This window comes from Homo sapiens, chromosome 4 (genome assembly GCF_000001405.40).
Source record: "Homo sapiens chromosome 4, GRCh38.p14 Primary Assembly".
In the NCBI taxonomy this organism is placed as follows: domain Eukaryota; kingdom Metazoa; phylum Chordata; class Mammalia; order Primates; family Hominidae; genus Homo; species Homo sapiens.
The window spans coordinates 8,652,245-8,663,889 of NC_000004.12; the positions used below are offsets into that span (position 1 = coordinate 8,652,245).

At 50.4% G+C, this 11,645-nt stretch overlaps 1 annotated feature.

The window, feature by feature from the left end:
* Nucleotides 1,383-1,899: an enhancer, noted in NCBI's record as "H3K4me1 hESC enhancer chr4:8655353-8655869 (GRCh37/hg19 assembly coordinates)". NCBI's record gives its function as "activates a minimal SCP1, AML or CMV promoter by ChIP-STARR-seq in naive H9 embryonic stem cells {active_cell/tissue: H9 hESC(naive)}" and the evidence as "EXISTENCE:reporter gene assay evidence [ECO:0000049][PMID:30033119]".

The window sequence follows — 11,645 nt, forward strand, 5'->3', positions numbered from 1 at the left end:
AGATCCTTCTGCATCCCTAGATCCAGCGATTCAAACCCAAGTGGGCCGTCCTCCGAGAAAGAGAGGGACAGAAACCCCAGCTCCCAGGAAGATGTGGGTAAGGATGCCTGATTCGCCCAGCGGGAAGGACAGGTGTTTGGGGTGGAAGCCCCAGGTCGGGGGTGGCCAGCATGGCCAGTGGCTTCCCAGGGGCTTGAGGGCTAGAACCTGGGGCACCAGCTTTGCACAGAGCCTGCGGGCCGGCAGCCAAAGCGGGCTGCTCCCAGCTTCTGCCAGCCTTGGTGTCCTCGTCGCGAAGGTGACCGTGGGCCTGGGTCCCCAGGCAGGGTTGACTGAGCACCTCCTCAGCTGGTCCTGGGATGAGAAGGCCAAAAGAGGAAAGCACCTCTACCCCAAGCCAGACCGCCTGGCTCAGGCAGTAGAGCTGTAGAGCAGGCTGGCTAACAGTCACAGCCGCCGAGCTGGCTGTCATGAGGATGAGTTCCTCTCCTGGAGGGACTTTGCCACCCCTGCTGCCTCCACCCCTTGGCCTGGCTCCCTTCTGCTCCCTCAGACCCGGCCCAGAACACCATGTCCCCACAGCAGAGCAAGATCTCAGCAGATGCACGAAGAGCTCCCGTCAAGGGGGAAGTGGAGGCTGGGCTTCCTTCATCTCAGGCTCGCTGCAGGATGCACCATGCGGAAGTCTCAGGTTAAGCTGGAATGAGGAGTGTGACCCCAGCTGGGAAGAGCCTGATGTCTGCCTGTGTCATCAACAAGCCCATGGCAGGCTCTGGTCATGGTTGCTGCTCGCCGGCCCACCCTGGCCCTCTCCCTCCTCCGATCCTTCCCTCCCTCCCTCCTGCCCTTCTCATTCCCTTACCACTCTCCCTCTACCTCTCTCTCTCCTCTCTCCTTCCCTCTCTCCTTTCCTCCCATCATTCCCCTCTCTTTCCCTCTATTTTTCCCTCTCTCACTCTCTCCCTCCCTCCCTCCTTCCTACCCACTTTTCTCTATTCCTTCAACAAGTATTAACTGATCACCACCGGGTGCCATCACTGTCCAAGACTTCAGCGACACAGCAGTGAACACCTGATGTGGAGACAGACCATGCTGTACCAGGTAAGGAAAGGCCGGGAGGAAGCCCACCACCGGAGTTGGGGCATCACAGAGGAGCGTCCTGTGGCCATGGGAACTCAGCACCCAGGCCCGCAGGTCGATGTTTCCATTTAAGGTTATGTGCAGGCAGCTGACCACAGGCGCTTGAGAGCGAGCCCGGTGCTTTTCTCATGCAACCAGGCAGGTGCCCAGGCTGGGGTGGGGCTCCCTCCTGCAGCAGGGGTGGAGTTTCTGCTCCCCGCCACCTCATTGCGGGATCATGTGGCCCTGTTCACGATGGTGTCTGTGCCTCCAGCCACTGGGGTCTGGGCAGGTGGTGGGGGGTGTGACGGGGGAGAACTGTTGATTTCCTAAGAGCCATCATGACAAAGTACTCCAGCCTGGGGGGCTTAAACAGTGGAAGTGTGTCATCTCACGTTCTGGAGGCCGGAAGTCTGAAATCAGGGTGTGGGCGGGGCTGGCTTCTCCTGAGGCCCTGTGGGAGAATGGGTCCCATTCTCTCGCCAGTTCCTGGTGGCCGCAGCCCTGGGCGTTCCTTGGTTCGGGGAAGCGCCGCCCTGACCTCTGCCTTCATCTTCACCAGGCACTGTGCTTGTGCGTGTCTCTGTGTCTAAATTTTCCCTTTCTACAAGGGCACCATTCATGTTGGATTAGGGCCCAACCTGATGACCTCATTTTATTAAGTTTAATTTTAAGTTCTGGGATACATGTGTGGGACGTGCAGTTTTGTTACATAGTTAGACATGTGCCATGGTGGTTTGGTGCCCCTATCAACCCATCACCTAGGCATTGAGCCCCGCATGCATTACCTATTTATCCTGGTGCCCTCCCTCACCACATCCCCCAACAGGCCCTGGTGTGTATTGTTCCCCTCCCTGTGTCCATGCGTTCTCATTGTTCAGCTCCCACTTATAAGTGAGAACGTATGGTGTTTGGTTTTCTGTTCTTGTGTTGGTTTGCTGAGGATAATGACTTCCAGCTTCATCCATGTCCCTGCAGAGGACACAATCTTGTTCCTTTTTGTGGCTGTATAGTATTCCATGGTGTACATGTACCACATTTTCTTTATCCAGTCTATCATTGATGGGCATTTGGGTGGATTCCATGTCTTTGCTATCGTGAATAGTGCTGCGATGAACATACACATGCATGTATCTTTGTAATAGAATGATTTATATTCCTTTGGGTAGTATATTAGTTCGTTTTCAAGGTGCTGATAAATACATGCCCAAGACTGGGAAGAAAAAGAGGTTTAATGAACTCACAGTTCCATGTGGCTGGGGAGGCCTCACAATCATGGCGGAAGGTGAAAGCACTTCTTACACGGCAAGCAGCAAGAGAGAGTGAGACAGAAGTGAGAGAGGAAACCCCTTATAAAACCGTCAGATCTCGTGAGACTTATTCACTGTCACAAGAACAGTATGGGGGAAACCGCCCCCGTGACTCAATTATCTCCCGCTGGGTCCCTCCCACAAAACGTGGGAATTATGGGAGAATAATTCAAGATGAGATTTGGGTGGGGACACAGCCAAACCATATCAGGTATATGCCCAGTCATGGGATTGCTGGATCAATCGGTGGTTCTAGGTCTTTGAGGAATCGCCACGCTATCTTCCACAGTGGTTGAACTAATTTACATTCCCACCAACAGTGTAAATGTTCCTATTCCCCCACAGCCTCACCAGCATCTGTTGTTTCTTGACTTTTTAATAATTGCCATTCTGACTGGCATGAGGTGGCATCTCACTGTGGTTCTGATTTGCATTCCCCTAATGATCAGTGATGGTGAACTTTTTTGCATGTTTGTTGGCTACGTGAGTGTCTTCTTTTGAGGAGTGGATGACCTCATTTTAACTTCTCTGTAGAGGGGCTGCCTCCAAATAAGATCGCATTCTGGGATACTGGGGGTTAGGAATTTGGGGGGACGTAATTCTGTCCATAACAAGGAAGAAGAGAAAAAAGTCTGTCTAGATCACTAGGTCTTCCCCAAGTATCAGGAAAGGGAGGCGCTGCTGTGGCCCCACTCTACGTCCAGCGGGCAGGACCCTGCCGTGCTCCTCCCTAGCTGCAAGGTCTTGTGTGGGGGTGTGGAGTTTGTTTCCTCTCAGCTGAGCATGTTTCCACCCTGACCAGGATGGGGCTCCCATCGGGTTAAAGGAAGAGAGGATGATGGGCATGGCGTGCCCGAGGTTGGAGGGTCATGGTTCTTCGAGCTGACTTCCAGGGATGGGTGGGAAAGGTAGAGGAGACACCAGGCGAGTCGTCCTGGAGAAGCGGCAGAGAGATCACCGGCCTCTGCACAGGGAAGCAGGAGGAACCCTCGTCCCTGGGCCCTGCTGGTGCCGGCCCCCGTGGGCTCTCTGCCTCCATGAGCTCCCGATAACCTGGGCCAGAGGCTGGTGATACAGCAAATGCAGGGGAGATAACTTGCTCTTTTTTGTTTCAAGTGATAAATTCTTCAAGACCCTTATCCATGAGGACAGAGCGGGGTGCCTAGGCAGACTCCCTTCTTACCTGGGTCAGGGCAAGTCCGGGAAGGGACCAGGGCTGGATTTGCCCAGAATGCCCCTTCTGGGGCCCCGGGCTGGCAGAGCCCTAGGGACGGGTGAACCAATTGTAATAGGGCAGTGGCCTCTGCAGAGGAGTGACCGCACCCCAGCCCCTGCCCGACTCTGATCTGTCTCCTCACTTCCCCAGGACGGGCCTGCTGCTTGTGGAGTGTTAAATGAAGCCCGACCAAGACGATCGATGGAAGGACGCGCCCCTCCAGGTGGAGACTCCCTGAGCGAACCTGTCTTGTAATGAGTAATGAGCATTTATGGAGGAGAGATTGATGGGAGCTTGGGAAAGCTTTATCAATGCACCAGCGATCAGGACAGACTGGAGTCCAACAAGAAATGGCAGCCAGCGCTGGGGCTGCCAGGAGTCCTGCAGGGGACACGGGGGTGGGAGCAGGGGACAGTGAGCTGAGAGGCAGAGCCTGCAGGTCAGGGCGGTGGAGCCAGCAGGCCTGGCCGAGGGGCCCAGGTGGATGGGGCCAGGGTTCCTGGCCTCCTCGCAGAACCAGATGTGTCTGCAGGGCCTGCCTCTCTCTCTACATGAAGAAGTTGGTTCAGAAGTTCCCGGAGGTCTCCGCGAGGCTACGATTCTAAGGTGAGGACAAGTCCCTTCCGAAAGAGGCTGGGGTGTCTGCTGTGGAGATGTGTACATGTGTGGGGTCAGGGGAGGACAGGGGCCCTGCACGCATTACCATCTATATGTTGTCTTGGCCCAGGCTTTAAATTGAAACGCTCCAGATTCAAATCCACCCCCGGCCTCAGACACCACTCCTGACACACAGGTAGAAATCACAGTGGGAATCTCGGGGCTCGAGGCTTTTCGGGGGAAGCCTGTGAGTTCCTCATGGAGCGGGGAGTCTTCCCTGCTGGGCCCTGTTCAGGCTCCAAAGGTGGCCTGGCCAGCTGCAGGGAGCCCCAGGCAGGAGCAGGGGCTGGGTGAGCCCGAGAGGAGGAAACTGAGGCACAGAGTCATGCGGTCTCCCCATGGCCCTGCCACGGTCGAGGCAGCACCCAGGTCTGTGGGATCTCAGAGTCTATGCTGTCTGCTGCACGTGCACGTCTCCTTCATTGCCAAAAATAACCTGCATTCAGGCTTGTGTGGGTGGCTCTCACCGAGGCAGCACCCTCCTTCCCCACAGCAGCTGGGCTTCCCGAGCTTGGGCACCCTACCTCCACTGCAGCAGAAACCAGAGACCATAATCATCTTTACGCTGCGGTTTTCTACAGAAGGAGGCCTGGCCAGAGGGTCCCAGCTGGGAGGGGGTGAGGGAGAGGAGAAGAGAGCCTCAGGGCCCTCTCACCTTACCCCATGCTGAGGCGAGGTTTTCTGGCTAATTATTGCTCCCCGAGGCCTCCTTAGCCACGTGGTCCCTGAAGGCATGTGTTCTGGGGGCTCTCTCTGCCTGGGAGTTCATTAGGGGGATGTTTGAAGGGGGAGGCTCATTCGACCCCAAGGCCCCCAGCCTTGCCACCCACAGTATGGACTGGAGAGAACGCAGGAGCACGGGGGAGGCCTGTGGCCCTGTCCCCAGGTTGTGTCTCGGCACTCATTCTCAAGGGCCATTCCAAATGACCACGGCAGTTGGCATAAGCCCCCTGATCTCCGGTGTCCCCCTTGCTCCCAGCCTAAAGCCTAACCTGCTGTTCAGGCACTGCTGGGGGGCACTGGCGGCTGCTTCTCCTCCTCAGCCTGAGGCTGCTCCCTACTCACTGACTTCAGCCTGCACCACACAGCCGTCCCTGCTGGCCCTTGCTCTCCCAGGCCTCAGTCAGTGGAGACAGTGCAGGTACCGGGGCACCTCCTGCCCCTCTCCCTCCCTCCTTCCTCCAGCTCCTCGCCCCAGTGCGCCTCCTCTGAGTTGAGGCTGGAGGAGGCCAGCTTGAGGGCATAACAACCAGAACTCAGATCCCAGTTTCTCCATTTACCCACCGGCCCTGTTCATTCATTTATTCATGCATTCATGCAACAAATATTTACCCAGAGTCTGCTGCAGAACCAGACACTGCACACTTCCTTGTGCCTGGTGAACACACCCACCATGGACCTGGCCTCTGGAGCAGGCTGTGGTCTGTTTGCCTAATTCTTCACCAATAGGACTCATTCCCCAAAAGTGGACATACAACTCACATACCACAAAATTCACCCATTTAAAGTGTGTAATTCTGTGGCTCTTAGTATGCTCACAGAGGAATCCAACCATCACCACAATCAATTTTAGAACGTTTTAATCACCCCAACAAGAAACACCATATAGTCATTCCCCGTTAGTCCTCCCTCAAGCCTCCTGGCAACCCTAATCTACTTTCTGACTCTATGAATTCGCCTATCCTGGGTGTTTCCTATGAGTGGAACCACATAATATGTGGTCACTTAGCACAAGGTTTTCAAGACGTATCCATCCTGTATCCTGTGTTCATGCTCCATTCCTTTTTGTGGTCAAAGAGTACTCCATTGTCTGGATAGGCCACATTCTGTGTATCTGTTCATCAGCAGATGGACAACTGGGCTGTGTCCACTCTTTGCCTATTGTAAACAGAGCTGCTTTGAAGATCTGTGTGCGCGTTTGTGTGTGGCTGTGGATTTACCGTTCTCTGAGGTAGATGCCTGGGAGTGAGACGGCTGAAGCAGGGTTTGATTTGCTGGAATTTTATAAGTCATGCTGATATCTGAAAGGACAATCCCCCACAATGTTGTTTTTCAGGAGTGTCTGGGTAATTCTTGAGTCTTTGCTTTCCCATAAATGTTTTAGCATGAGATTATTAAGTTACACACACAGACACACACACACATATTGCTATAGTTGGAATTATATTGAGTCTATAGATTGGGTTTAGGAGTACTGACATCCTTAAATTCATGGGTCCCTGTCTTCAGGAATATGGTCTATTTCTGCATTTATTTAGGTCTTCTAAAATTTCTGGCAGCAACATTTAATAGCTTTCTCCACAGAGCTCTTTCTGATCCTATTTTACATTTATTGCCAGGTGTTTGATATTTCTTGCTGCTATTATAAAAATTTGATTTTCTGTTTGTTGCTGGCTTTTAAAGTAATGCATTAAAAAATATTGATCTAGTATTTAGAAACCTTTCTAATCTCTTGGCCCGGCATGGTGGCTCACACCTGTAATAACAGCACTTTGGGAGGCCCAGGCAGTGGGATCACTTGAGCTCAGGAGTTCAAGACCAGCCTGAGCAACATGGCAAAACCCTTTCTCTACAAAAAATACAAAAATTAGCTGGGCATGGTGGTGTGTACAAGTGGTCCCAGCTACTTGGGAGGGTGAGGTGGGAGGATTGCTGGATCCCAGGAAGTTGAGGCTGCAGTGAGCCATGATCATGCCACTGCACTCCAGCCTGGGTGACAGAGCAAGACCCTGTCTCTAAAAGAAAAAGAAAAACCTTGCTGAACTCTTATTAATCCTAATAGTTTATAGATTATTTCAGGTTTCTACAGAGAACAATCATGTCATATGAAAATAATGACAAATTAGATTCTTCTGCCCTAATCATTCATTGTCTTTTCCCTTCCCTTCCCTTCCCTTCCCTTCCCTTCCCTTCCCTTCCCTTCCCTTCCCTTCCCTTCCCTTCTCTTTCTCTCTTTCTCACTTGTTTGTTTTCTGAGATGGAGCCTCATTCTGTTGCCCAGTCTGGAGAGCAGTGGCATGATCTTGGCTCATTGCAGCCTCTGCCTCCAGGGTTCAAGTGATTCTCCTGCCTCAGCCTCCTGAGTAGCTGGGATTCAGGTGCCTGCCACTATACCTGGCTAACTTTCTTTTTTTTTTTTTTTTTTTTGAGACGGAGTCTCCCTCTTTCCCCCAGGCTGGAGTGCAGTGGTGCCATCTCGGCTCACTGCAAGCTCCGCCTCCCAGGTTCACGCTATTCTCCTGCCTCAGCCTCCCGAGTAGCTGGGACTACAGGCGCCCATCACCACGCCCGGCTAATTTTTTGTATTTTTCGTAGAGACGGGATTTCACCGTGGTCTCGATCTCCTGACCTCATGATCCGCCCGCCTCGGCCTCCCAAAGTGCTGGGATTACAGGCGTGAGCCACCGCACCCGGCCTAATTTTCATATTTTTAGTAGAGACGGGGTTTCGCCATGTTGGCCAGGCTGGTCTTGAACTCCTGGCCTCAAGTGATCCACCCATCTTGGCCTCCCAAAGTGCTGGGATTACAGGCATGAGCCACCAAATCTGACCTGTCTCCTTCATTTTTTTTCTTGTCTTGCCGAGCTGGCTGGGACCTCCAAGTCATGTAAACTTGAGATAAATACCCTTGTCTTGTTTCTAATTTTAAAAAGAGTTTTATTTATTTATTTATTTTGAGACAGGGTTTTGCTCTCTCACCCAGGCTGGAGTGCAGTGGTGCAATCTCAGCTCACTGCAACCTCCACCTCCTGGACTTAGATGATCCTCCCACCTCAGCCTCCCAAGCAGCTGGGACTACAGGCGTGCACCACCACGCCCGGCTAATTTTTGTATTTTTTGTAGAGATAGGGTTTCACTATGTTGCCCAGGCTGGTCTCGAACTCCTGGGCTCAAGAGACTTGCCTGCGTCGGCTTCCCAAAGTGCTGGGATTACAGGCATGAGCTGCTGCACCTGGCAAAATAATGTTTTTGATAGCTCACCTTCAAGCACATTATTTGCACAGATTTGGTAAATATTTAAATTCTCTTCTAGCCTTATGATATGGTTTGGTTCTGTGTCCCCACCCCAATCTCATGTTGAATTGGAGGAGATTGGATCATGGGGCGGATTTCCCTCTAGGGAGTGAGTCTTCAGGAGATCTGATGCTTTAAAAGTATGTGGGACTTCCCCCTTCGCCCTCTCTCTCTTCTGCTTTGCCCTGGTAAGATGCGCCTGCTTCCCCCTCCCTTCCACCGTGATTGTAAGTTTCCTGATGCCTCCCAGCCATGTTTCCTGTTAAGCCTGCGGAACTGTGAGTCAATTAACCTCTTTTCTTCATAAGTTACCCAGTCTCAGGTAGTTCTTCATAGCAGTGTGAAAGCAGACTGCTACACCTTCGTTTGCTAAGTTGTTTTTTAAATGTTGAAAGAATACTTGCAATGTTTGTGCACACTACTTTATTGTTTCACAGTAACCCATGAAATGGGTGCAATTATCCTCACTTTATAGAAGAGGCATAGAGAGGTCACACCCCAGGGGTGGCAGAGCCTGGGGTATTAACCACTGCACTGTGCTGTCTCTCTACAGCAGGAATAAAACAAACACAAAAGTAGCAGAAATGGCAACAAAATTCAAAATCTAGATCTCTGAAAATATTAATTAAAGAAAGAAGCTTTCACCAAGGCTTCTTTTGTTTTGAGATAGAGTCTCACTCTTGTCACCCAGGCTGGAGTGCAGTGGCGCGATCTCAGTTCACTGCAACCTCCACCTCCCGGTTCAAGCGATTCTCCTGCCTCAGCCTCCTGAGTAGCTGGGATTACAGATGCCCACCACTACGCCCAGCTAATTTTTGTATTTTTAGTAGAGACGGGGTTTCACCATGTTGGTCAGGCTGGTCTTGAACTCCTGACCTCAGGTGATACGCCTGCCTTGGCCTCCCAAAGTGCTGGGATTACAGACGTGAGCCACCAAGCCCGGCCTCACCAAGGCTTGTTAAGCAAAAACCAAAGGGACACCAAGAAGTTATGCTGGAAGGGAGGAGGGCAAGTCCAGAAATACAATTGAGGTGGTGGCATTGTGAGAAGCTATTATGTTCCTACTAGTGAAAGAGAAATTTAATAAAAAAAATTAAGAAAGAGAGTATAGTAGAGGAGAAAGAAAGAAGAAATATAAAAAAAGAAACTGCTATGAACAACTTCATATGACTGTTCCTGGAAAATCAGAAGAAATAGATTTTTAAAGGCAAAATATGTTTTCAAAGTTTTATGTAAGGAGAAGTGGAATATCTACAACCATAAAAAAATAGCACAAGGCATTTTAAAGGTGAGTTTTAATGCATCTTTAAGTAGCAGAAAATCTCCACCTCACTTAAACTTTCAGAGGATAGAAAACAAAGCTGCTGACTCATCTGAGGAGGCCTATATACCCTGACATCAAACCTGCGTTTTGTGGAAGAACAGACAAATTAGGATCAGATCCACACACACATATATCAATTCTTAAGTGAAGAATCAGCAAATTAAATCCAGCAGAATATACGAAAATACATTATGTAAAAGCAAGATTTACCCTAGGAATATAAAGTCATTTTAGCGGCCGGGCACAGTGGCTCACTCCTGTAATCCCAGCACTTTGAGAGGCTGAGGCAGGCAGATCACGAGGTCAGGAGATCGAGACCATCCTGGCTAACACGGTGAAACCCTGTCTCTACTAAAAATACAAAAATTAGCCAGGCGTGGTGGCAAGCACCTGTAGTCCCAGTTACTAGGGAGGCTGAGGCAGGAGAATGGCGTGAACCCAGGAGGCGGAGCTTGCAGTGAGCTGAGATCGTTTCACTGCACTCCAGCCTGGGCAACAGAGTGAGACTCCGTCTCAAAAACAGGTTGATTTAGCAAAAATTACATCTACGCTGTACATGAAACTCCTAGATGGATTGAAAAAAATTTTTTTAATGTGGAAAACAAAATGATTAGAAGAAAATATATGAAGCCTGGTCTGGAACCTCAGGGTAGGAAAATTCTGAGTTGGGGTACAAACAGAATAACTCATACGAGAGAGTGATGGATTCAATTACACCAAGCTCTAATTCGTGGAACAAAAGACACAATTGAAGATAAACATCAAGCCACAGACAGAAGAAGACATTTATAGCATATAGAACAGACAGAAGATTAATGTCCAGAACACAGCTTATAAATTACTGCTACAGCTCAATGAGGAAAAGAGGCCAATGACCCAGGAGGAAACAGACAGAGGGTCCAGAGAGAAGAGTCCGAAGAGCCAGTGGACCTATAAATGCACAGAAAGATGTTCAGGCATCTTTTACATTGGCTCAGCCGCCCTGGAGGGCAATGTGGCCATCCCCAGTGACACGGCAGGGTGCAGCGTCCCAGCTCTTCCCTCCTAGGGATCCACGCAGAAGGACCAGGGGACTTGTGCCAGCTCTGCTTATTGTGGTAAAACACCGGGGCTGGGCGCAGGGGCTCCGTTTGCCATAACATAACTCCTTGGGAGGTCCAGGAGTGTGCATTGCTTGAGCTCAGGAGTTCAGACCAGCCTGGGCAACATGGTGAAACCTCATCTCTACCCAAACTACCAAAAATTAGCTGGGCGTGGTGGTGTGCACCTGTGATCCCAGCTACTTGGGAGGCTGAGGTGGGAGGATCGTTCGAGCCTGAGAGGCAGAGGTTGCAGTGAGCTGAGATTGCACCACTGCACTCCAGCTTGGGCAACAGAGTGAGATCTCATCTAAAAAAATTTATTTTGAAACAAAAATATTTCTTTAAAAAAATAATAAAACCATTGGGAATAGCCCATGTGCCTATCAGATGGAATGGATAAATTAAAGGGAGTTGTCTCTACAGGAAGAAATGCTACAGTGAAGTTAAAATAAAATGTTCATTTTACATAAATTTTTAGACCTACAATGCAATACTGTTGATTATTTACAAATGCCTACATACGTAGACTAGAAAAGCAAACTGCAATGAGAAAGAGCATTTAGAATACACAGCAGTGGCCTTGGGGGTGGACAGAGGAGAATGGGCAAAGGCCATTTTAACTTTACCTGTGACTTTTATTGCCTTCATTTCAAAACGTGAAAATATGGCCAGGTGCAGTGGCTCTCTCCTGTAATCCCAGCATTTTGGGAGGATGAAGTGGGAGGATCATTTGAACTCAGCAGTTTGAAACCAGCCTGGGCAACATAGCGAGACCCCATCTCTACAAAAAATAAACAAAAATTAGCTGGGTGTTGTGGTATGTGCCTGTAGTTCCAGCTACTCAGGAGGCTGAGGTTGGAGGATCGCTTGAGGCCAGGAGGTAGAGTCTGCAGTGAGTCATGACCGTGCCACTGCACTGCAGC